This window comes from Homo sapiens, chromosome 21 (assembly GCF_000001405.40).
Source record: "Homo sapiens chromosome 21, GRCh38.p14 Primary Assembly".
Taxonomy (NCBI): domain Eukaryota; kingdom Metazoa; phylum Chordata; class Mammalia; order Primates; family Hominidae; genus Homo; species Homo sapiens.
This window is the reverse complement of record NC_000021.9, coordinates 46,372,834-46,399,423: the sequence shown is the minus strand read 5'-3', so window position 1 is coordinate 46,399,423 and position 26,590 is coordinate 46,372,834. Positions and strand designations below refer to the sequence as shown.

The 26,590-nt window shown below is 52.1% G+C and overlaps 1 protein-coding gene across 2 annotated transcripts in view, besides 2 other annotated features; it reads right to left on the bottom strand.

The window, feature by feature from the left end:
- PCNT (pericentrin) overlaps nt 1-26,590 on the bottom strand; it is a 121,614-nt gene that overhangs the window by 46,346 nt on the left and 48,678 nt on the right. For both annotated transcript variants that reach the window (NM_006031.6, NM_001315529.2), the window contains exons 16-24: nt 17,584-17,730; nt 13,441-13,592; nt 10,540-10,682; nt 9,993-10,225; nt 8,592-8,754; nt 8,048-8,260; nt 1,930-2,159; nt 1,294-1,410; nt 1,169-1,189 (exon numbers count right to left, since the gene is read on the bottom strand). In NM_006031.6, coding sequence (NP_006022.3) covers nt 1,169-1,189; nt 1,294-1,410; nt 1,930-2,159; nt 8,048-8,260; nt 8,592-8,754; nt 9,993-10,225; nt 10,540-10,682; nt 13,441-13,592; nt 17,584-17,730 — 1,419 coding nt within the window. The remainder of the gene's footprint in view (nt 1-1,168; nt 1,190-1,293; nt 1,411-1,929; nt 2,160-8,047; nt 8,261-8,591; nt 8,755-9,992; nt 10,226-10,539; nt 10,683-13,440; nt 13,593-17,583; nt 17,731-26,590) is intronic.
- Nucleotides 12,930-13,430: an enhancer, noted in NCBI's record as "H3K4me1 hESC enhancer chr21:47805909-47806409 (GRCh37/hg19 assembly coordinates)". NCBI's record gives its function as "activates a minimal SCP1, AML or CMV promoter by ChIP-STARR-seq in naive H9 embryonic stem cells {active_cell/tissue: H9 hESC(naive)}" and the evidence as "EXISTENCE:reporter gene assay evidence [ECO:0000049][PMID:30033119]".
- Nucleotides 19,866-20,646: an enhancer, noted in NCBI's record as "H3K27ac-H3K4me1 hESC enhancer chr21:47798693-47799473 (GRCh37/hg19 assembly coordinates)". NCBI's record gives its function as "activates a minimal SCP1, AML or CMV promoter by ChIP-STARR-seq in naive H9 embryonic stem cells {active_cell/tissue: H9 hESC(naive)}" and the evidence as "EXISTENCE:reporter gene assay evidence [ECO:0000049][PMID:30033119]".

Sequence of the window (26,590 nt, the reverse complement as noted above, 5' to 3'; positions counted from 1 at the left end):
CAAAGACTGCACAGGGAGACCTAGACCCACAGGCTGCACAGAGAGACCCAGACCCACAGGCTGAACAGAGACCTAGACCCACAGGCTGCACAGGGAGACCTAGACCCACAGGCTGAAAAGAGACCCAGACTCACAGGCTGAACAGAGACCCAGACCCACAGGCTGCACAGGGAGACCTAGACCCAGAGGCTGAACAGAGATCTAAAGGAAGTATAGGGTGATGTTGTGTTAAGAAAGGCATTCTCTATAATACAGAATTTGTTAGGAAAATGAAATCTATTCTGATAGAAAAGAATGGAATACTACAGCCGGCGCGGTGGCTCACGCCTGTAATCCCAGCACTCTGGGAGGCTGAGGCAGGCAGATCACGAGGTCAGGAGATGGAGACCATCCTGGCTAACACAGTGAAACCCTGTCTCTACTAAAAATACAAAAAATTAGCGGGGTGTGGTGGCGGGCACCTGTAGTCCCAGCTACTCGGGAGGCTGAGGCAGGAGAATGGCGTGAACCCGGGAGGTGGAGCTTGCAGTGAGCTGAGATCGCGCCACTGCACTCCAGCCTGGGCAACTGCATGAGACTCCAACTCAAAAAAAAAAAAAAAAAGAAAAAGAAAAAAAAAGAATGGAATACTTCTCAGCAACATAAAGAACAAACTATGGCTACACTCAGTAACCTGGATCAATCTCCAGAGAGTCAGGCTCGGTGAATGGTGTCAATCCCCCAAGATGACAGGCACGCTTCACCCATCAGGAAGATGGTAAAGTTTTAGAAATAGACGACAGATGAGTGGTTGCCCGAGAAAGGACGGCGGCATGGCCGTGACCCAGTACACGAGGGTCCGTGGGGGGCAGAAGGCACTGCAGCGTCACCAGATCCCTGCCCATACTGGCTGTGACACTGCATTCCGGCTCTGTGGATGAGACCTCTGGGGAACCACGTGCCAGGCACGAGGGATCCGAGTCTTACCTCTTACAACTGTGTGTGAATCCACCATTAATTTTTTAAAAAAATAAACGAACCTACTACAGCTTCCTCAGACAAGAGAAAGCAGATGGCTGCAGCCCAAACAAGAGCAAGAAAAGCGAGTGGGTGGCAGGACAGTCCCAGCGAGCGCAGGGGAGCCTGGGCGCCAGCGCAGGGAGTGCCCATCTCGTTGACGCCTCCTCACCTCTCCATCCAGCGGCGCCTGCTGCCGATTTCATGTACATGGAAGGCAAAAATTTAAAGAAAGTTAAAGCTTAAAAACACAGTGAAAGACAGCAACCAGCAGCACTGCACGCTGCACTGACTCACCTGGCTGTCGCGAGGGCCCCAGGGCTGCGGCTTGGCCGCCTGGCGGAGCTGCCCCTCCAGCCTCTGAATCTCCTGCTGGAACTCCTCGCGCTCGTGCTCCCGCTCGGCTGCCTGCTCCTGGGAGGAGAGGCAGCGTGTTGGGACCACCCCAACGGGGCTGGCGTGCCCCTTGCAGCGAAGGTCCACCCAGGCTTCCACTGCACGTACAAGTGCAACTGCCCAGCAGCTCAGACTCCAAATACCCCCCTCATCACAGTCACTTTGTAAAATGGAGTTAAGTAAAGAAAAACAGCTCTCTGCATGGAACACAGAGGAACGTCTGAGACTGGTGGGTGGGAGGACAAGAACCAGTGAGAGCTGCAGCACAGGCCCAGCCCGGGCCCCAAGTGACGCCTCCGTGACTGTGAGAAGGAGCATGGCAAGACCATGGGAGGTGGCCCTCAGAGGGCTGCGCCACAACATGTGGGCAAGAAGACACCCACCAAGAGTCAGCGACCTGGGTGCACCTGTGCAGCAGGTGTGGGGCGCCCTCTTCAACATCCTACTGCAGAAGCTTACGTAACGATCTGGAAAGAAGTTCATGCTGTAACGGCAACTTTTAGTGATGCAAAAAAATGTATTATTCAGAATTCTTACATCCATGAATTGCCGCTGGTTGCGCAAATGCTTGTCCAGAGATGCCACCTGCTGTTCCAGGGCAGTGACGGCCTCCGCCTGCTTGGCACACCCGCGATGCTGAGACAGCTGTTCTTCTAACTCAGACTCCAAAATCTTCATCTGGGAGAGCAGGGCTGAGCGGTCCTTCTCAGCCTGCTTCCTGGTCTCCGACTGTTCTTTGGTCAGATCCTCCACTTCCTTCCGGAGAGCTAAGGATGCAAACAGGACAGACACGGGGACACCCCCGCACCTCAGAGGCTGGTGCATGACACGTGCATCTCCTGATGGTGATTCAGTCAAAACCCACCGAAAATGAAGTCACTTCAATTCGGGGTAAAACGCCCATCTTTTAAAACAACATTGGCTAAAGCAAATTTCTGAAGCCTGAGAAGAATACTTCTGAGTGACATGTGGGTGATTCTCTAGGAATTCTGCCTTCAGTACAGTCTCCCAGACAGAAACACACGACTAAGCCCAGTCCCAGCAGACGACGGACGGTGCTGAGAGCCTGGGGTTGTGACGTGTCTAGGGGAAAGGCAAACGCCCCATCGGTAAATCAAAAGCGAATCTAGGTCGGGTGGGGTGGTTCACACCTGTAATCCCAGCACTTTGGGAGGCCGAGGCGGGTGGATCACTCGACGTCAGGAGTTTGAGACCAGCCTGGCCATCATGGTAAAACCCTGTCTCTACTAAAAATACAAAATTAGCTGGACATGGTGGCGTGTGCCTGTAATCCCAGCTACTCGGGAGGCTGAGGCAGGAGAATCACTTGAATCCGGGAGATGGAGGTTGCAGTGAGCCCAGATTGCATTGCTGCACTCCAGCCTGGGTGACAAAGTGAGACTCCTTCAAATAAATAAATAAATAAATAAAATTAACTGGGTACCACAGTTTAAATTTCTGTCCCCTCCAAAACTCATGTTGAAATTTAACTGCCAGAGTGATGGTATTGGAAGGGCCTTGAAAAGGTGACGAGGCCGCAAGGGCTCCACCCTCACAGCAGTTTTAATGCCTCAATAAGCGGCTTTGGGAGTGGTCCTCCCACTCGGCCCTTCTGCCTCTGCCCCAGGATGATCCAGCCCTCCACTCCGGAGGATACAGTGTGCAAGGCTCTGCCTTAGAAGCAGAGATGGGTACCTCACCAGACACCAAACCTGCTGGCACCCTGACCTTAGGCTTTCTAGCCTCCAGAACTGTAAGTCACAAACGTGTGTCTGTGATAAATCGCCTAGCCTCAAAAATTCTCTTCCAGCAGCAAAACCAGCCTGAGACCTGGGGTGGCGAAGCCCCGGCCCAAGTGGAAACTGCAGATGAAAAAGCGTCTTGGAAAAAGGGGCTCTCTGCTGCTAAGTCCTGAAGCCTCCATTTTATTATTATTATTTCTGAGATGGAGTCTCTGCTGCTGAATCCTGAAGTCTCTATTTTATTACTATTATTTCCGAGATGGAGTCTCTGCTGCTGAATCCTGAAGTCTCTATTTTATTACTATTATTTCTGAGATGGAGTGCCTGCTGCTGAGTCCTGAAGTCTCTATTTTATTACTATTATTTCTGAGATGGAGTCTCTGCTGCCGAGTCCTGAAGTCTCCATTTTATTATTATTATTTCTGAGATGGAGTCTCTGCTGCCGAGTCCTGAAGTCTCCATTTTATTACTATTATTTCTGAGATGGAGTCTCTGCTGCCGAATCCTGAAGTCTCTATTTTATTACTATTATTTCTGAGATGGAGTGTCTGCTGCCGAATCCTGAAGTCTCTATTTTATTACTATTATTTCTGAGATGGAGTGTCTGCTGCTGAATCCTGAAGTCTCTATTTTATTACTATTATTTCTGAGATGGAGTCTCTGTTGCTGAGTCCTGAAGTCTCTATTTTATTATTATTTCTGAGATGGAGTCTCTGCTGCTGAGTCCTGAAGTCTCTATTTTATTACTATTATTTCTGAGATGGAGTCTCTGCTGCTGAGTCCTGAAGTCTCTATTTTATTACTATTATTTCTGAGATGGAGTCTCTGCTGCTGAGTCCTGAAGTCTCTATTTTATTACTATTATTTCTGAGATGGAGTCTCTGCTGCTGAGTCCCGAAGTCTCTATTTTATTATAATTATTTCTGAGATGGAGTCTGGTTCTGGGATTACAGCTGTGAGCTACCACTCCCGGCCTGAATCCTGAAGTCTTTAAGCCACCCAAAAACTAAAATATTAAATTCATACATGTTAACTGACATTTCACCAGCTTCCAAAAAATCATTTTGATTTGTAAAAGTGTTAAGTCTTTTATCACAAACTATCATGACCAATGCAAGTAACATTCTCAATAAATGTTGATGCCACTGTCAGCAGTTAACGGCGAGTCCGCTGTAAACATGCTGCTGCGGTAACATTCACAACCTGAGACGTGCGGCGAGGCCTGAGGGCAGCTGCTCCCCTGACTGCACTCCCTGGGCCTGGACACGACCTGGGCTGTGCTTGGCCCAGAACATCACCATCTTCAGGGCCAGGGGCACTGGGGCAGGGTGCCTGCTGACATGCACGCAGACTCAGGGAGGCACACGAGGATCGCAATCCCAGCTGGCGAAGCAGGTGACACCCACGCTGAACAGGCACAGGGGATCCAGGGGGCCCAGGCCCTCCCTGGAGACCAGAGCTGGGACCCAGCCCAAGAACAGCTGTAACTATCACAAGACATCAGTTTCTGAAAAGCAGCACAAACTGTAGCTTAGGCACTGTAGTAAAGACCGTTAGAGAAATGCTCCTGTTTTGCTGGGGCGTTAAAATGGGACAACTCCACCCATTTTTATGAATACTGAAGATTAGAGTATCGCTGTATTTATTGTTTGCCACAAAAGGTCTGAAGTACTTTTCTTTAGTAAATAATTTGCAAAATCCAGTGCAAACAAACAGCACGTCACACACAAATCAATCGTTTGTCTTTACAAACCTGAGTCCTTGTGTGCTGCAGTGACAGCTGTGCCTATGAACAAGAGTTTGCGTTTACTGAGGTGGAAACAGAAACGTGCAGCTGAGAATGTGAGAGCTAGAACCAGTGACGGCAGCGTCAGCAGCAGGGCTCTGGGCAACGCTGCTGGCCTTGAACAACCTCCAGACTCAGCGCCCACCATGCCCACAACTGCCTGTGCGGCTGCAGGCCCATCAACTTTTCAAGGAGACAAAGAGAACAAAAGGGACAGATGGCAACACCTGAAGAGAGCCACAAAACACCACACAGCGAAGGGGGCGTCACGCAACACGGCGAGGCAGGGCCGCTGCACACCAGGGCCGGGTTCACGCCACCGTCAGAGCCTAGGCCCTGCCGGGAGAGTGGTCAGGGCCGGTAGCTGGCGCAGAGTCACACAACCGCAGAGCCAGGGTGAAAGGAAAGAAAACAAACCAGAGTGAGAAACTAGGGCAGGGTTAACCATGTCGAAAGGAAAGCAAACAAAGAGGACCCCAGAGAAACAACGAGAATTTCCCAGTGACAAAGTTGGCCCGAGCCTGCGAAAGGGCTCCATGAGATCCACTCCCGGCATGCCAGGCGCCTGCCACTGCAAGGCCCATGGTAAGCCTCAGCTTCAATCCTGGGGCCTGCAGGGAGCCCAGCCAGGCTATGGACACCCAGGGCCCACATCCACCTGTCACGACACTCCCTGGTGGGCCAGGCTTTGTGGCAGGAGATGAACCAGAGGCAAGGCAGCAGACGGGCCACCACAGCCTTGGGAAGAAGCCCTGCAGTGCTCAGACCCACGTGCTCAGGCCCAGGGCACGACACAGGCACCTGACACGGGGGCGCTAGCCACAGGGCCCCGGCCTCACCGGGCCGTTCAACAGAATGCAGGCCACACACCCCTTTATCTGCCCGGAGGCCTGACAAACGAAGTGACTGGCTGAAGTCCAAGGGCTCGAGGTGATGAAACACCAGGTGGTCTCCCCCGGCGGGGTGTGGCCCAGCGCCGGCTGGCTGGGCGCGAAGACACTGGAAATGGGGCAGCAGAGTCTACAGGGAGGGGCCCGACCATGAGGCTGCCCCCGGACAGCAGAGGACAAGCAGAGAAAGCATCGGAGAAACAGCGACAACGGACGCCCAGATGCAACAGCACCGCCAGGGCAAAGATGCTGAGAGCGATGCAGGACGTCAGAGACGTTCCTGAAAACACCCTGAAAAATCCTGAGGAGATGCAGGAAAACGAGGGCGTCAAAGGAAAAGAAACAGGATCTCGAGTCATGTCTCCAGCACCACTTCACTGGTGGAGGAAGGGACCTGAAGAGACTCCAGGCCCTCCTGGCCCTGGAGGTTCCCCCGCACTCCCCCTGTGGACACACAGAGTGCGGGGGCAACAGGGCTTAGAGGCCCGTGGGGAGATGACGCCGCCCTGAGCCCGGCAGCAGGCAACACCGCAGTGAGGACTTCACAGCTGGCCAAGGAAAATCCACCCCCGAGCAAGGGCCCAACGCCAGGAGGTGCGGCAAATAAAACTTGGCTAAATGACTAAAAGAAGATACTCACAGACAGGCTTTTAAAAAACAGTCATGAATATGGTATCCATACAAGGCACAACTAAAACAGAGTATTAAAAAAGACTTAAAATAAAAGGACAAGAAAAGATACACGAGGGGAAAAACACCAGGCTAATCCTTCAGCATCAGAAATTTATATAAAAAATAGAACGGGATAAACGAGAATGACAGAAATGAACCAAGAAAAGGAGAGGACAAAGTGTGGGCACAGTCATAGGCAGAGTTTAAAACATCCCGTGGGACCAATGTCTTCCACCCTGGAAAACGCCCCCTGGGCCAAAGAATTATAAGCTTGTGGGACCCAGATGTCAACACGAGCACCACAGGTGGAAAGGCTGGGGCACCACGAGGAGGCACGACCTGAACCCCACATCCTGTGAAAGGCAGCAAACATGTCCAAAAGCGTCCAACCCAACGAAGGCAGTGAGAAACCATAGGAGCTGGCCGGGCATGGTGGCTCACGCCTGCGATCCCAGCACTATGGGAGGCCGAGGCAGGCAGATCACTTGAGGTCAGGAGTTCGAGACCAGGCTGGCTAACATGGTGAAACCCCATCTCTACCAAAAACATAAAAAATTAGCCAGGTGTGGTGGTGCTCACCTGTAATCCCAGCTACTTGGGAGGCTGAGGCAGGAGAATCACTTGAACCCAGGAGGCGGAGGTTGCAGTGAACTGAGATCACGCCACTACACTCCAGCCTGGGGACACAGCGAGACTCCATCTCAAAAAAAACAAAAACAAAAACAAAACCATAGGAACAAGGAATCACACGAACAAGGGCAAAAATCAGCAAGACAGAAGACAGCAAATGAGAATGGCCACAAAAATCAAAAGCTGGTTGTTTTCTAAAGAGAAAAATGTAAAAAAATAATAATAATAATAAATGAGACTTCTGAATTGGCTGAGGTGGTGCCTGCGATGCCCAAGCTTCTAACTCCAATCTGTGTTCTGAAGGGATGACCCCGAGGCCACGGCCATCCTGGAAGGAACTTTTAGAGAAGCGCAGGCCCCTCTGCCTCCCACGTGCCTGAGATGCACGAATGCAATGTGAAAAGCCTTTGCTCGAGCTGAACCAGCTACTGAGGACGCAGCTCCCTGCAGGCTCGACATTTTAAACTTATGTTTTGACAGTTTTCATTTTAAATACCTTTGAGACTAAAATATCTAAAAATCTGAAAAGATACAAACTAATATTGTTAACACTATGTTTTCCTAATGAGGGTTAATATCAGGCACTTGGTTATTTTAAATGAAATTTTAAAGTAGCTCTTGTTTGCCGCACTCGGCTCTGCCTCCAGCTGCTGCTGTTGGACTCAGAGCCCCTCTTATTTCCACCTCACAGAGGTGGGGACCCTCCAACCAGCAGGACCGACAGACAACCCGCCTTCTCTGAAAGGGCAGCAAAGCCAGTGGATGCCTCACCTGATCCGCACAAGCTTCCCATGCCCAGTGTTCCAGGAGAAGCTGCGTGCTGGTTTACACTTGACCCTCTAGAGACACTGAGTGTCCTTGGGAGCTGGGGAAACCGTGGCAGCTGTATCCGCGCCCCACAGCTCGCACCACCCTCCACAGCCCGCGCTCCTTACCAGCTTCTCTGGCCTCGGCGTCCGTGGCTGTGGCCTCCCCCCGACTCCACAGACGGGTGCACTCCTCCCTCAGCGCCGCCTGCTCCTGGGCCGCCTGCTGCAGCTGCCGTCTCAGGCTCTCCAGCTCCAGCACCAGACGGTGCTCGGAATCCTCCTTCCCGGCCAGCACCTCCTTCAGATCTGCTGTCTCCACCTTGAATCCCTCAAGGGTACCTTTGTGGGAGACACAGATGCTCTGACAAAGCCAGTCCTGGGTGTAACTGAGGAGAGCCTGCTTGGAGGAAGGGACGGGGCCACTGCCCCTGAGAGCAGCAGAGCTAAGAGCCAGCAGCTTCCAGGACCCAGGTGTAGGCCTCCAACAGCCCTGCTGGCCGCAGCAGCTCCCGACCACCCCATTCCTCCCAAACCATGGGTGCCTCCCATGTTGGCTTTGTTTTTACATTTCACTTTAAAAACCCTATTCTGAAGGCTTCCTTCCCTCAGTGAGGCCAGGCCTGCTCCCCGTGCCTGTGCTCCAGGTGCCCCGAGGCCTCATGCTGCTCACCCTGAGTCTTGTGCAGCTCCAGCGCCAGCTCTGCCTTTGCTGCGCTCTCCTCCTTCAAACACTCCAGCAGCTCCTGGTGCTTCCTGACAACCTGTGCTGTCTCCTCATTCTTAAAACTAAATTCTTTTTCAAAACGAGAATGAATTTGGCGTGCTTCTTCCAGCTGTTAAAACACATTTGCAAATCAAAACTCCAGATCAAAAATAACTGAAGCCTACATTAAGACCAAGAGAACGCCACTTCTACCCCCAGACCCTTCAGGCCGTCACCACCCAGGCAGGGCCAGGCCAGGGTGACGGGACCTGAGCACATCTCAGCCACCCTCCGAGACACTGTGGCCACAGTCTCCAATGAGGACCCCTCCTCAGCCTCCCAGTTCAGCCCTGGGCCCCTCTCCCTTCCTCCAGACACTCCCCTGGCAACTGTGTCCAGTCTGGGGCTCCCAGGCCATCTACAGGCTGAGACCCAGAGTTACCTCTGAACTCAAAACTTAGCAAAAAAGAATTTTTATTTTCATTTTTGAGATAGGGTCTTGCTCTGCACCCAGGCTGGAGTGCAGTGGTGCAACCACAACTCACGGCAGCCTCAGCCTCCCAGGATCAAGCAATCCTCCTGCCTCAGCCTCCTGAGGAGCTGGGACCGCAGACGCATGCCACCACGCCTGGCTAACTTAAAATGAGGTCTCGCTATGTTGCCCAGGCTGGCTGCTGGAGTCCAGGGCCATCTCCATGAGGCCGTCCACGGCCAGGCTGAGGCTCTGGAAGACCCTCCGGATGGGTTGCTCACACTCCCGTACACTTTCTGGGCTCATGAGAAAGCTTTCACACATGTGGCTGCTAATTTCAGCCACGGAAGACATCTCTGCACATTCAGACAAAGTTCTGTCCAACTCCGGGAGGGCCACATCAGACCACATCTCCTCCAGCGCCAGAGCTACAAGATGAGCTCGTGGGCTGAAGTAGGCTGAAGTGAACCTCCTACCTTAGCCTCCCAAAGTGCTGGGACTGCAGGAGTGAGCCGCTGTGCCTGGCTGAAAAAAAGATCTTTGATTGCTTTCCGTGTATTCCTACTTAATGTCTTTTTTAATTGTCTAAAATGTTCTAAAACGGTTACAAAAAATTTCCTTTCTTAGTGATAATCTCTAAATATGAAAACACTCCACATGGAATTGCAACAGTGCATGAAGTAAAGAAAATGGGCCTGTTTATTATCCAAATTAAACAAACAGATTCTCTCATTCGTAGCAAGCCCACTTCCTCAAAGATCTGGTTCAGAAAAGCCTCCTCCTTGGGGAGAAACCCGTGCGAGCGTCGTTGGCACCGGCATCCACCAGGCTCGTGTGGCATCATCAGCTACTCAGTTGTTCACATCTCCACAGGACCCCGGGAGCCTGGGCCTCACCTGCCTGCTGGAGTCCAGGGCCATCTCCATGAGGCCGTCCACGGCCAGGCTGAGGCTCTGGAAGACCCTCCGGATGGGCTGCTCACACTCCCGCACACTTTCTGGGCTCATGAGAAAGCTTTCACGCATGTGGCTGCTAATTTCAGCCACGGAAGACATCTCTGCACATTCAGACAAAGTTCTGTCCAACTCCGGGAGGGCCACATCAGACCATGTCTCCTCCAGCGCCGGAGCTACAAGATGAGCAGATGCCGGCACACGCGGCTCAGTGAGCAAGCCGGCCGCGGCCATGGCAGCCAAGACGACAAGGAAGCCACAGAACTCAGAACGTCGCCCCAGCCGAGATGAGTCAGCGCCACGTCCACGGGAGCTGACAAATTTAGCCCAAACCCCGGTCTCGGCCTTCTGTAAGTGCGGAAACTAGCAGGAAACCAGGACGGCAGTGCTCCCAAGGGCATCGCCCAATACGGAGGCTCCTCTCAGAGAGCTCCAGGACCACAGAGGGGCTGCAAGCACAGGGCTGGGCAGCTGGTCCCGGCACACTCACCTGTCGACAGGGCCAGGCCTGCGCCCGCGTCATCCAGGCAGAGCCCCACGCGCTCCCCGATCCGGCTCCTCAGGGTGACGGCTGCCCTCAGCGTCTCTCCAAACAAACCCAGCAGCCTGCGCAGGGCGTCCTGGAGGGCCCCTCTGAGACAGGAGACACCCATCATCAGGCAAGCTGGTCACGGCATAAGAACCCCCACCCTGGATGCTGCTGAGGGGCCGCCCACCAGTTTGCACACCTCGGCCCACGGCTGCCTGTCCCCACGGGGCCGGAAGACATGATCCTCATGCCCATGTGAGCACAGGAAGCTGAGGCCACAGACAAGACAACCACGTGGAGCCCACTCAGGGACACGGGCTTTCCTAGGTGAGGTCTTCCTGATGCCATTTCTGATGTGTAAAAGGCATCACATTAGGAACACGGCAAACCCGTCCCGCAGGTGTGCGATGTGGCCGCACAGCGTCAATCACCCGGGAGCAGCACACAGGCTCCGCCCCTCCCCTGGAGCACAGGGTGCACCAGCCAGCCATTTCACAAGATGTCTGTCCAACACCAAGTCACGCCTCAGCCACACATTCACAGGAGTTGTGTGGCAGGAAGAGGATGGTGTCTCCCAGCCTCTCGCTAGGCCTCGTGGACGTGCGGTCTGGGATGCTTCTGTCTTTTTTTTTTTTTGAGATGGAGTCTCGCTCTGTCGCCCAGGCTGGAGTGCAGTGGCACGATCTTGGCTCACTGCAAGCTCCACCTCCCGGGTTCACGCCTTTCTCCTGCCTCAGCCTCCCGAGTAGCTGGGACTACAGGCGTCTGTCACCACGCCCGGCTAATTTTTTGTATTTTTAGTAGAGATGGGGTTTCACCATGTTAGCCAGGATGGTCTCGATCTCCTGACCTCATGATCCACCCGCCTCAGCCTCCCAAAGTGCTGGGATTACAAGCGTGAGCCACTGCGCCCGGCTGGGATGCTTCTGTTTTTACACACAGGGGCTCCCGAGGCCACAGGCCCCTCCACATCTCGCTCCCTGCACTATGATTTAGGAGCTGTGACGCCGCTGAGGACAGGCACGTTGACCCAGTGACTACACAGCCAGCCCTCCCTCTACTCTGCTCACAGCTCTGTCCCCAGAGAGCCCAACCCTGAGGAGCAGACGATGAGGACTCATTCGTGGGGACCGTGAGGTGACAACGGGAGGCAGTGTCGTGCAGGCCCCGCGAAACCGAAGATTCTGGGCAAATAACAGGGAGGGGGAGTCCTGAGGAGGGGCTTGACGGAGAGAATGCCACCTGCTCCCCAGCACACTTCCACCCCCCAAAATGCCCAACTCCTGCAGGCATCAGGGCGTCTGCAGCCACCCCACCTCAAGACAGGCAGCCTCTCCAGTGTCCAGGGACCGTGGGCTCACCTCTGCACCCCTTGTGTTTAGAGCCTGGGACTACCCCGCCCACCACCCACCTCTGCACCCCTCGAGTTAAGAGCACAGACCGCCCCACTGGCCGCTGTGCCCCTCGGTTTAGAGCTCTCGCTCGCCCACTGACCTGGGTGACTGGAGAGAGTCAGCACCAAGCTACGAGACACCCACAGCCAAGTGCTACAGAAGGCAAGGTCCTCACAGAAAAATCACAAAACTTGATGAAAAGAACAAAGAGAGACCTGCACAGACACCCCCCACACACGGATGGACCCTCAGCATGACAGACACCAATGCTCCAGAAACAGCTGTGAGCTCAGAGGGTCCCATAAGCCCGACCTGGTCTCCGGACCCTGGGTGGTCTCCAGAGCAGAGCCAAACCAGTTCAGAGCTTCAGGACACAGCAGCACAACCCAGAGGCCTCGAGTGGGGACACAAAGACGGGAGCAGCAGCAGGACTCAGAGGCCTGGGGCGGGGACAGACAGACGGGAGCAGTGGCTGGACCCAGAAGCCTCAGCGGGGACACACAGATGGGAGCAGCAGCAGGACACAGAGGCCTCGGGCGGGGACACGCCAATGGGAGCAGCCAAAGACCCACACAAGGGGACGGGGAGGACGCGCACCAAGGGGAGGCTGCGTTTGGCAACACAGTGCCGAGTCCACTGCCCAGACAGGTGCAAGCAAGAACAACTCTGCAGGCTCACCCCAGAGTCACACAAAAGCAAAACTTAAAACCCTGTGAGGTGACCTGGGAAAAACCTCCATGGTGTCAGAGGAGCAAAAAGTTTCTCAAGACCCCACACGCGACAAAAGGGCAGACAAGCCTGCTGGACAGCATCACTGCAGGTGAGGAGGCACCAAGGCAGGATGTGGCCTGGACCCATGCGTTCAGGGAAGGCGGCCCCACGGCCCGTGGTAAGCAGACCCACACCCCGCCCTGGGAGAGCCCTCGGGGCTGGGCGCTCAGCCCAGTGCCTGCAGCTACCCAGGCACAGGCTCCCAATGGAGAAAGGAACGGACAGGGCTACGGCCCCTGCTTGGGCCGGTCTCAGAAACACACGTCACAGAGAGAGATGCATGAGGCACGACACTTGCACACAGTCCAAAGCACAGGAACCACGAGACATGTGGGCCTGCACCCCGTGCCGGGGACGAGGACACGCTGCGGGGACGCAGACACTAAAGGGGAGGGGTCGGGCTCTGTGTGGGAGATAACGGCTGGTTTTAATCTGGCCAGATGGGGAAATGAGACACAGCAGGCAGGGTGGGAGGAGGGCACGGGGGCTGGGAGATGAGACACAGCAGGCGATTTCTTCCCGGTGCTTACAATCTTTCTAACTGAGAGAAGAAGGAAGCCGGGTCCCCGTCCACCAGGAGCCAGCGTGCATGGTGGCAGCAGCCACGGGGCCAGGAGCCGTGGGGACCAATGGCATCTGCATGACCCAGCGGGTGCTGGCGGCCACAAGGCAGCCTCGGTGCCGAGGACACACTGACCTTTCGCTGTGGGACAGGTTGACGTCGGCCTTGAGCATGGAGAGGAGGTTTGCGCCTTCCCGGTTCTCCCGCTCCCGCCTCTGCTGCAGCACCTCCAACTCGGAGCGGCACTCTTCTATCTCGTGACTTAAGGATAAAACCTGGTCTTTCAGCTATCGAGAAAAATGGTTAAAGCTTTCGTTAAAACAATTTGGTTAAAAGCAAATGGCTGTAAGGGACTTTCAACACAATTTCAGTATTTGAGAGTCTCTGACTTAGGACTTTTCAGCTTGGTGATGGGGCAAAAGGAGCAGGCACTTCGGCACGTTCCTCGACTCACAACGCCTTCCACTGACAGTGGTCAAAGGCGTGACCTCAGCAAAGGCCAAGGAGCACCTGCACATTTAATAAAAATACGGCAAAGGTGAACGAGGTGCTGATTAAAGGTGAAAATTATTGATACGGTTTTTCCTCCATTATTCATCATTTACAAAAGAATACACAAACATCCCCAGGTGGAACCTGAGGCTAGGGGAGGGAAGGGGCCAGTTCATCAGAGATCCACCACTCAAACAGCAATTCGAAATAAGTCACTGTATCTGGTCATTCACAAAAGTCAGTTGCCAGGCAGGCAAAGATCTTTCTTTCTGAGACAGGGTCTCACTCTGTTGCCCAGGCTGGAGTGCAGTGGCACAATCACAGCTCACTGTAGCCTCAAACTCCAGGGCACAAACAATCCTCCCACCTCAGCTTTCTGAGAAGCTGGGACTACAGGTGCGTGCCACCACACACGGCTAATTTTTTTAATTTTTTATAGAGACAGGGTCTCCCTATGTTGCCCAGGCTGGTATCGAATTCCTGGGCTGGAGTGGTCCTCCTGCCTCAGCCTCCCGAAGTGCTGGGATTAAAGGTGTGAGCCATGGTGCCAGGGGAGGGCAAATGGGGAGTGAGAGTCTAATGGGGACAGAGTTCAGTTTTGCAAGATGAAGACTTCTGGAGATGGATGGTGGTGATGGCTGCACAATACTGTGAATGTGATTCCATCACCGAATGTACAACACCGTGAATGTGCCTGCACCACTGAACTACGCACAACACCATGAATGCACTTGCACCACTGAACTATGCACAACACTGTGAATGCACTTCTGCCACTGAACGCACAACACCGTGAATGCGCTTCCGCCGCTCAACGCACAACACCATGAATGCACTTCCGCCACTGAACTACGCACAACACCGTGAATGCGCTTCCGCCGCTCAACGCACAACACCATGAATGTGTTTCCGCCGCTCAACGCACAACACCGTGAATGCGCTTCTGCCACTGAACTATGCACAATACCGTGAATGCACTTCCGCCCCTGAATGCACACCACGAATGCACTTCTGCCACTGAATGTACAGCACTGTGAATGGGCTTCCACCACTGAATGCACAACACCGTGAATGGGCTTCCGCCACTGAACGCACAACACCGTGAATGCTCTTCCGTCACTGAATGTACAACACCGTGAATGCGCTTCTGCCACTGAATGCACAACACCGTGAATGCGCTTCCATCACTGAATATACAACATGGTGAATGCGCTTCCGCTGCTGAATGCACAACACCGTGAATGCGCTTCCGTCACTGAATATACAACACTGTGAATGCGCTTCCGCCACTGAATGCACAACACCGTGAATGGGCTTCCGCCACTGAATGCACAGCACTGTGAATGCGCTTCCGCCACTGAATATACAACACTGTGAATGCGCTTCCGCCACTGAACGCACAACACCGTGAATGCGCTTCTGCCACTGAACGCACAACACCGTGAATGCGCTTCCGCTGCTGAATGCACAGCACTGTGAATGTGCTTCCATCACTGAATATACAACACTGTGAATGCGCTTCCGCCACTGAATATACAACACTGTGAATGCGCTTCCGCTGCTGAATGCACAGCACTGTGAATGTGCTTCCATCACTGAATATACAACACTGTGAATGCGCTTCCGCCACTGAATATACAACATGGTGAATGCGCTTCCGCCACTGAATATACAACACTGTGAATGCGCTTCTGCCACTGAACGCACAACACTGTGAATGCGCTTCTGCCACTGAATGCACAACACCGTGAATGCGCTTCCGTCACTGAATATACAACATGGTGAATGCGCTTCCGCCACTGAACGCACAACACCGTGAATGCGCTTCTGCCACTGAACGCACAACACCGTGAATGCGCTTCCGCTGCTGAATGCACAGCACTGTGAATGCGCTTCCATCACTGAATATACAACACTGTGAATGCGCTTCCGCCACTGAATACACAACACTGTGAATGCGCTTCCGCCACTGAATGCACAACACCGTGAATGCGCTTCTGCCACTGAACGCACACCATGAATGCGCTTCCGCTGCTGAATGCACAGCACTGTGAATGCACTTCCATCACTGAATATACAACACTGTGAATGCGCTTCCGCCACTGAATATACAACATGGTGAATGCGCTTCCGCCACTGAATATACAACACTGTGAATGCGCTTCTGCCACTGAACGCACAACACCGTGAATGCGCTTCTGCCACTGAATGCACAACACCGTGAATGCGCTTCCGTCACTGAATATACAACATGGTGAATGCGCTTCCGCCACTGAATGCACACCGTGAATGTGCTTCTGCCACTGAACGCACAACACCGTGAATGCGCTTCCGCTGCTGAATGCACAGCACTGTGAATGCGCTTCCATCACTGAATATACAACACTGTGAATGCGCTTCCGCCACTGAATATACAACATGGTGAATGTGCTTCCGCCACTGAATATACAACACTGTGAATGCGCTTCCGCCACTGAATGCACAACACCGTGAATGGGCTTCCACCACTGAATGCACAGCACTGTGAATGCGCTTCCGCCACTGAATATACAACACTGTGAATGCGCTTCCGCTGCTGAATGCGCAGCACTGTGAATGGGCTTCCGCCACTGAATGCACAACACCGTGAATGGGCTTCCGCCACTGAATGCACAGCACTGTGAATGCGCTTCCGTCACTGAATATACAACACTGTGAATGCACTTCCGCCACTGAATGCACAACACCGTGAATGCGCTTCCGCCACTGAATGCACAACACCATGAATGGGCTTCCGCCACTGAACGCACAACACCGTGAATGCGCTTCCGCCACTGAATGCACACCGTGAATGCGCTTCTGTCACTGAATATACAACACGGTGAATGCGCTTCCGCCACTGAATGCACAGCACTGTGAATGCGCTTCCGCCACTGAATATACAACACTGTGAATGCGCTTCCGCCACTGAACGCACACCGTGAATGCGCTTCCGCCACTGAACGCACAACACCGTGAATGCGCTTCCGCCACTGAATGCACAACACCGTGAATGCGCTTCCGCCACTGAATATACAACACCGTGAATGTGCTTCCGCCACTGAACTATGCACAACACTGTGAATGAGCTTCTGCCACTGAATGCACAACACCGTGAATGCGCTTCCGTCACTGAATATACAACATGGTGAATGCGCTTCCGCCACTGAATATACAACACCGTGAATGCGCTTCTGCTGCTGAATGCACAGCACTGTGAATGCGCTTCCGTCACTGAATATACAACACTGTGATTGCGCTTCCGCCACTGAATATACAACACTGTGAATGCGCTTCCACCACTGAATGCACAACACCATGAATGCGCTTCCACCACTGAATGCACAACACCGTGAATGGGCTTCCGCCACTGAATGCAGAACACTATGAATGCGCTTCCGCCACTGAATCTACACTATGAATGCGCTTCCGCCACTGAATCTACACTATGAATGCGCTTCCGCCACTGAATGCACAACACCGTGAATGTGCTTCTGCCACTGAATGCAGAACACTATGAATGCGCTTCCGCCACTGAATATACAACATGGTGAATGCGCTTCCGCCATTGAATGCACAACACCGTGAATGCGCTTCCGCCACTGAATCTACAACACTGTGAATGCGCTTCCGCCACTGAATGTACAACACTATAAATGCACAACACCATGAGTGCACTCCTGCCACTGAACTGTGCACTGAAATAAAGTGAAAATGATTTTTATGCTATACACGTCTTATCACAAGGGAACAGCGTATTCCACACACCTGCTGGACTTGGTGATTCTTCTTTTGAAGCTGCAGAGACAAAGACTCTTTCTCCTCTTGGTGAAAAGGCTGTGCCTGTGCACTCTGAAGCCGAAGTGTCTCCTCTTTTTCATGCAAAGCAGTTTTCTTTTCACTTCCAAATTCACCCTGTACACATCAATAACAATAAAAAATACCAGTAAGCTAGAAAAATACTTTCTTTGCTGTTAGCCGGAATTCAGCACATTCAGCAGATATGCATGGAGCCCCCACTCTGCACCAAGAGCCGGGATGAGCCAGACCACAGCCCCCATCAAAGAAAACATGGGTTCAAGGACTTCACTGGGAACACAAAGTCCTGGTTTCGGGGATAAAACACTTAAGGAGACACAAGTTCGCACTGGTGACAGCTGCGTGTCATAAGCAACTGCTCACTACCATTCCCAAATGGCTCCTGTAACATCTTTAAGAGTCACACTAAGAAGTTCACCATCAAGGAATTACAGCCATGAAAACCCAAGATATTTGGAAACCTAGGTTCCTTCCCTTTTAAAAGATTAAACCTTCTTTCTAAATAACAAAACCTTTTAAATAAGGTTCAATAGATGAATTCTATACACACACACACACACACACACACACACACACACACACACACACACACAGAGATTTTTTTTTTTTTTTTTTGGAAGGACTCTTCTCTGTCACCCAGGCTGGAATGCAGTGGTGTGATCTCAGCTCACTACAACCTCTGTCTCCCAGGTTCACGGGATTCTCTTGCCTCAGTCTCCCGAGTAGCTGGGATTATAGGCGCCTGCCACCACACTCAACTAATTTTTGTAATTTTTCTTTTAGTAGAGATAGGGTTTCTACCAAAACCTGTTGGCCAGGCTAGTCTGAAACTCCTGACCTCAAGTGATCCACCCACACTGGCCTCCAAAAGTGCTGGGATTACAGGTGTGAGCCACTGCACCCGGCCAATTAAATTAATGAAATAAGCTTATTTTTTTAAACTTCCAGAGGTAGCACTTCTAGAATGGCAAAGTAAGGACCTCCAAAATCTGTTCCTCTATAAAAGAAAAAGTGGTAAAAACCATCAAAACCAGTGTTTTCAGAGCTGTGGAAATCTGGTCAGGTTTGCAATCATCCGAAGAGTGTTTATGGAAAACACAGGCTGAGTGTCCATAAGAACAAACTTCAGGTGCTTAACTTTGCCCTGACTCCATATCTCCTCTCCAATCTAACAGCCCTGAAAACCAGTAGCTGCTGGGGTGGGGTGGGGGACAGAATGGATTTGGAGCACCCCAAAATTTCCATGCACAACTGCCCGAGCCCACCTGCCGGGCACCTTGCTGCCGTGACTGGGTCAGAGCTCTCGGTGTCAAAAATTCTACCCAGGGTTGGCCGGGCGCGGTGGCTCACGCCTGTAATCCCAGCACTTTGGGAAGTCAAGGCGGGCAGATCACAAGGTCAGGAGATCGAGACCATCCTGGCTAACATGGTGAAACCCCATCTCTACTAAAAATACAAAAATTAGCTGGGTGTGGTGGTGGGCACCTGTAGTCCCACCTACTCGGGAGTCTGAGGCAGGAGAATGGTGTGAACCTGGGAGGCAGAGCTTGCAGTGAGCCTAGATTGCGCCACTGCACTCTAGCCTGGGCGACAGAGACTCTGTCTCAAAAAAAAAAAAAAAAAAAAAAAAAAAAAAAAAAAAAATCTACCCCAGGGCACCGGTTGGAAACAGTCAGTGTCAAGTGTTTAATAGCCGCACTGCCCACAGTAGAGAAACCAGTTGGGACTAATAAGGGACTGCCAGAAAAACAAAAGAAAACACTTGAGAATGCGATGTCCACAGGGGCCTCTGGAAAGCTCTGACATCTTCTGGGACTCTACAAGGTGTGAACACGTGCAGGGCTGTGCCCACGCTGGAAAGGCCCAAGAGGTCCTGGGCCGGCTGCAGTGACCATGTGGCTTGGCACAGCAGGGGTGAAGGCCAGGGCCAGGCTGTCCACCGCCCGCCAGAGCCCTGAGGGCACAATGCACGCAGGGCCCTCAGCAGAGAGAAAGACTGAAATAGAGCTCCCTTGACATCTGGAGCTGAAAAATACAATCACAGAAAAAAAAATTCACTAGAGAGGGGTTCGGCAGCAGACTCGAGCAGGCAGAAGACAGAATTCACACGCTGGAAGATAGGTCAATTAAGACGATCCAGTCAGGGAACAGAAAGAAACATGAAGAAAACTCAGCAGTCTCCAAGGCCTGTGGGGCACCCTCAAGCCAGACAGAGGGAGAGAAAAGGGCAGAGGAACCCTTGAAGACACGACGGCCAAAAACCTCCCAAATTTGATGAAAATAACAATAATAATAAAAATAATAATCCCCACATACAAGCTCAATGAACTCCAAGTAGGACAAACTGACAGAGACCCACACTTCACCCATCACAGCCAAACCTCAGCAGGGTTCAGGACAAAGCTTGAGGCCAGCCAGTGCACAGCAGGTATATGGGTGCCGCTCAAGACACGTAGCCCCAGGAAGATGGGTGCGGCTCACGACACGCGGCCCGGGAAGACGGGCGCGGCTCACGACACGCAGCCCAGGAAGACGGGCGCAGCTCACGACACGCAGCCCCGGATGACAGGGGAGGCAGCGGAGAGCCCACGCAGCACTGAAGGAAAAGCCTGGATCTTGAAGTCCACATCCAGGAAATGATCTCTCAAGGATGAAGGAGAAATTAAGACATTCCCACAAAAACAAAAGCTAAGAGGATTCATCACTAGCAGACCTGTCCTTCAAGAAATCCCAGAGGAAGTCCTTCGGGCTGAAACATAAGGCACCAGACCTGAATTTCCAGGAAGAAACGAGCAGCAGTAGTGCAGGTAACGACACAGAGAAAACAGGAGACAAAACAACATGGCTTTTGTTTACAATTCTTCTTCCTCCTGGTTTAAAAGACACGTGCATAAAGTAACGAGCACAAAAAGATAGAAAGATGTGGTTGGTACGACAATATGAGCACAAAGGGCAGACGAGGGAATGATGCTACATTAGCAAATGGTTTTGTAAACTTTTAAAATTAAGTTGGTATTAATCCAAACCAGATTGTTAGAAGGTGCTTGCTGTAACGCTCAGGGCAAGCGCTAAGAAAATAACTCAATATATATCAGTCCCCTTTGTCTGCGGTTTCAGTTACTTGTGTTCAACGTCATTTTGAAAATATCGTATGAAAAATTCCAGAAGTAAACAACTCTTATGAGTGTTAAACTGCCTGCCCCCAAGCTGAACGGTGTGAGGAAATCTCGCAGGCCAGGCCGGGGGTCATCCTTCTGTCCGGCGTTATCCACGTGGCAAGCACTACCTGCCCACACGCAGGCATCTCGGTGATCAGACCAACTGTCACAGCATCACAGTGCCTGTGTTCAAGTCACCTTTACTTCATTTAATAACGGCCCCAAAGCGCAAGAGAGGCCGTTCAATTGCAATGCTGCAATTCAGACGTGCCAGAGACACCATAGAGTGATGCCTTTCAGTTAAAAGTTGATGACGGAGCAATTCAGATATGCCAGAGACACCACAGGGTGATTCCTTTAAGGTAAAAGTTGATGACAGGTATGTATAGACAAAAACAGCATATAAGGGGTTCAGAACCATTCACGATTTCAGGCACCCACTGGGGGTCTTGGAATGCATCCCCTGTGGGTAAGGGGCGACCACCGTATGGTAAAGGAAACATCAAGGAAATTAAAGTGAAAAAAGGCAGTAATGGAGGAATACAGAACAAAAAGGGCATAAGATATGCAGAAAACACATACCAAGCAAGTATTGACACATGCTACAACGTGCGCCAACCTGGGAAACACACAAAGTGAAAGCCGCGGACACCGAGGGCACACGCTGAGTCTATGTACGTAGGACGCCCACAGGTACGGCAAGCAGACGGCACATCACCAGGCATGGGGGAGAAGGGAGAATGGGGAGTTTCTTGTTTTCTTCCTTAATTTTCATTGATTATCTTTTGAGACAACGTTTTGCTGTCATGCAGCCTGGAGTGCAGTGGTGCGATGTCAGCTTGCTACAGCTTCAACCTTCTGGGCTCCAGTGGTCCTCCCACCTCAGCCTCTGAGTAGCTGGAACTATATGGGCACGCCAACATGCCAGGCTAATTTTTTTATTTTTAGTATTTTTTTATTTTTGGTCTTGAACTCCTGGGCTCCAGCAATCCTCCTGCCTCAGCCTCCCAAGGTGCTGGGACTATAGGCACGAGCCACTGGGGGTTTCTTTTTGAGGTGATGAAATATTTTAGAATAAACTTTTCTCAGCTCTAAGATAAGTGATGACAGATTCTTGGTAGAAAAGGTGTGTTACACAGCAGATTTAAATATAAAAAGGCCTGACAAAAGTTGCCTAGAAAAAGCTCAGTTTTAAGACAATGAAATTATTTTGTGTTTTGACTTGGCATGTGAAAAGGTAACTGATAAAGTAAGTTTTTTGTATCTACTTAGCAGGCAGGAAAGGACAGCACGAAGCCCATGTCCTCAGCAGTGGGACCTGCTGCTCCGGGACCTGCTGCTCCAGAACATCTGGGGTGGATTGCCGGCTCCCGCTCCCTGCCCAGCACGGCCAGGAGGGCTGAGGGCTGGGGCTCCACCAGCTTCAGGAGGAGGAAGACGTCAACAATGAGTGAGTGCCTTTTCTGAAGTAACTGGGGCAACAGTTTCAATAAACACATGGAAGCCCTGACACCAGAAATGACCTTTATTCTCTACCTTTTTTTGTGTGATAAGCCATGGGGAGGAAAAGGATAAAGGATCGGGTGCCCCCCGCGCCGGCCTGGAACTTGCTGAGGTGCCAGGTGGGCTGTGCATCTGCATCTTAGTCACAGGGACCAGAAACGGGTTCGCACGGCACAACACTGAAGTCACTCGCAAGGTCTCAAGGCCATTTGGAATGTGAGTACAGTTCACTTTAATCAACTTTCTCTCCTGGATTTGATTTAGTTCCATCTGTTTGAAAGGAAGGACTTAAGATTAACTTCTGAGCTGTGCACACTACAAAGTTTCCAAAGAACTTTAATTACCTTGCTGATACCCCAACCATCAGCAGTGCGTCTCCTGGGGGACAGACGCATTGATCCGGACCAACAGCCAGGGAGGGGGCAGCGGGCCAGGAGTAAGAGGTCCAAACAGGGATGCTGGTTCAGTGTACACCAACCACAAAACGCTGGTGAATTCAAGAACAAAACCCCAAATGCCAATGCACCCGGCAGGACAGAGGCCAAGGGACTGGGAAAACAGGAAAATTAATCCTCAAGACCAGGCGCCACCATGGTGCCCACAACAGCTCATGCTCAGACACAGTGGACGGGCTCCTCAGGCCCAGCCAGGCACAGATCAGGCGCTTCCCTCCTGGCATCCACAGCGTCAGCCTGTGGGGCCCGAGGGCAAACCTCTGCGCTCCCGGTGCCCAGCAAAGGATGTGGCAAGAGTCCAAGGCTGAAATCAGTGGTCCTTTGAACATCTTTCTGAGCCACAGACTACTTACTCTCTTTGGACAAAAATCTCTCATAGAGGCCTACCGTGTAACAATGAGAAAATCAAACTTCTGTTTGAGGCCAACACGGGAGCCCAAGAACATTGGACACCCCCAGAGCCTGCGGAGCCTGGCCTAAGCTCCAGGCGTCCCAAACTACGCCCCACTCAGGAGCACAGCTGGTGCCACGCTCTAGCCCCGCGGCCTCCGGGATCCCAGAGTCACACACTGCAGACGGAGAGGGTAGAGGGCAGGCTCCACAGAGAACCCCAGCCAGGGAGTGCCAACACTGCACGCAGCCCACCAGGACGCCCGGGCATGGCAGACAGAGGTGGCGCTCCCTCCACCCACTGGCAGCTGGAAGCTCCATGTGTGCAGTCTTGACCTTCGCTTTGTTTCAAGGCACAGCACCACCCGCAGGTACCGCCTCGCACCCAGGGGAGCCACCCTAACTGTCCACGCTTGGCCCTGTCCTGCCTGCACACTCTCAGGCCTTCGGCAGACCTGCAGAGGACGTAGGAGGTGGTGGAGGCCAAATGAGGCGGCTCCCCGCGGGGGGACAGCCCCCAGGAGACGTCGGGCAGGGCTGGGCAGGTCACAGGCATGCAGGCCCAGCAGTGAGACGGCCAGTGCCCCACATGTGATCCCTCAGGCCCAGGGCCTCGGCTCGGCCACAATGTCGAGCAGAAGCGTGCGTCCTCAGCCACCCCCTCAATCTGACCGGGCCGGCTCAAAGGAGATTTTCTTCCTGCAACCCCCTGGCAGAGGCTCTAGCCTGGAATAAAACTCTTTAAATTGACCATGTTCTTCTAAGCTGTGAGGTCAGTATCAAAAAAGACGTTTCAAAAAAAGTTATTTTCAGGTTTTTCTAAAATCCACACAATTATAGAAAAATATCACATATGTTTTAATCATAAGTAAGTGGCATGCACAGAGAATACCAATGTCAGAAGGCAAAGACATTCAATTGAGAACGCATTTAGGACATTCAAATGCTATCTAAACCAACGTTAATATTATCTTAATATTAAAATAATTAACCTATGAATAGATTTGGGTTTTCAATCCGAGAAAAGATGACACCGCCTTGAGCATCCCACACCGGCCGCATGCGATTCACTTCTGCACTCAGCTCTGCGTCGTGTTACCAGCACAGGCGGGGCAGGGCAGGGCAGGGGAATCTTATGGGATACATACTTCTATCAAAAAGAAATCAAGCTTACGTTTTCAGAGGACTTTCCTCACAACCAAACTCTCAAGGGCGGTATCCCGGAAAGTAATCCAATCACCCCACAAGTGTAGGTCAAGTCACACTGCTGACAAGTGACTGCTGTTCCAACAGGTGCAAAGATATTTGAGGCTCAGATAAAGCATCGCCGCGGGGAAGAACAGGACATCCCAGCTATTCTGGGACAATGACCCAAAACACTCCCGTCAGGGCTTGGCAGGGCTCTGTGTAACTTTTTTTTTTTTTTTTTTTTTTGAGACGAAGTTTTGCTCTTGTTGCCCAGGCTGGAGTGCAACGGCACGATCTTGGCTCACCACAACCTCCACCTCCCAGGTTCAAGCGATTCTCTTGCCTCAGCCTCCCGAGTAGCTGGGATTACAGGTATGTGCCACCATGGCTGGCTAGTTTTGTATTTTTAGTAAAGACAGGGTTTCTCTGTGTTGGTCAGGCTGGTCTCGAACTCCCAACCTCAGGTGATGCACCCGCCTCGGCCTCCCAAAGTGCTGGGATTACAGGCGTGAGCCACTGCAGCCAGCTTGTGTTATGTCTTTTCACGGTGTAAAGCCTGAGGAAAGACCAGGAGACCAGGAGAGGAGTGGCCACCATACAAGAAGCATTCTCACCAATCACAGGCCTGTGGATCTACCAACACGCTTGCAGGAACGAGGGAACAGTGACCAGCATCACAGGAACAAATAGATCCTGATGTGAGCCAGCCAGAAGAGACTGGCACGTGGGCTGGGCTTGTGATGAAATGCAGGGATCGCTGTGGATGTTTTAGGTGAGAATGGATCATGGTTATGCTGTATTGGGGGAAAACACCTCACTCGCAGACACATGGTGTCTTGGATTTGCTTCTAAACAATCAGGAGGAGAGGGGGACTGATGTATTGAACGTGCACCCCACTAACCAGCGGGACCGGGGGCTTGCTGAGTTATTCTATTCCTGCAAATGCTGCCCTCTGCCCCAAAAAACATAATATAAAATAAAGAGTACATCCCACCTCCCCACAGCCCAATTGTTTTCTTCTGTGAAATCAGCTACACCAAAACAATCACATAAAAGAGTATCTGAGCGGCCGGGCGCAGTGGCTCACGCCTGTAATCCCAGCACTTTGGGAGGCCAAGACGGACAGATCACAAGGTCAGGAGTTCGAGACCAGCCTGGCCAACATGGTGAAACGCTGTTTCTACTGAAAATATAAAAATTAGCCAGGCGTGGTGGTATGTGCCTGTAATCCCAGCTACTCAGGAGGCTGAGGCAGGAAAATCGCTTGAACCCGGGGGGCGGAGGTTGCAGTGAGCCAAGATCATGCCACTGCACTCCAGCCTGGCGACAGAGCGAGACTCCGCCCAAAAAAAAAAAAAAAAAAAAGCTAAGGCTGGGCGCGGTGGCTCACATCTGTAATCCCAGCACTTAGGGAGGGTGAGGCGGACGGATCACGAGGTCAAGAGATCAGACCACCCTGGGCAACATGGTGAAACCCCATCTCTACTAAAAATACAAATATTAGGCATGGTGGCGCATGCCTGTAGTCCCAGCTACTTGGGAGGCTGAGGCAGGAGAATCCCTTGAACCAGGGAGGCAGAGGTTGCAGTGAGCCAAGATCACGCCACTGCACTCCAGCCTGGAGACAGAGCGAGACTCTGTCTCAAAAAAAAAAAAAAAAAAAGAGTATTGACATGCACATCCCTAGCAGCAAAGTAAAAAGCTAACTTACTCGCGCAAACCTGTACCTCAACTACAAAAATACTGCAAAGACGCTCTAGGAGTATTCCGATAATAGTCCAGGCCAGGCGCGGCTCACGCCTATGGTCCCAGCACTTTGGGAGGCTGAGACAAAAGGATTGCTTGAGGCCAGGAATTTAAGACCAGCCTGGGCAACACAGTGAGACCCCATCTCTACAAAAAATAAATTAGCCAGGCATGGTGGTGCACATCTGTAGTCCCAGCTACTCAAGAGGCTGAGGCAGGAGGACCACTTGAGGCCAGGCGTTCAAGGTCACAGTGAGCTGTGGTTGCATCACTACCTTCGGCCTGGGCGACAGAGCAAGATCCTCCCTCCAAAACAACAACAACAACAGTCACCCTAGAAGAACAAAAGTACAGGTTAAAGGACACAGGTGACACACGATTTCAGAAAACGAACACCTCCTTGTGCTATGCACAGATAAAACGGACAGAATTTCTTTAGCATGAGTCCCTGGAAAAGCGAGACAGAATCTGACTTTTCCAGAGAAGACAGACCCACACGATACCCAGCAGGGTGC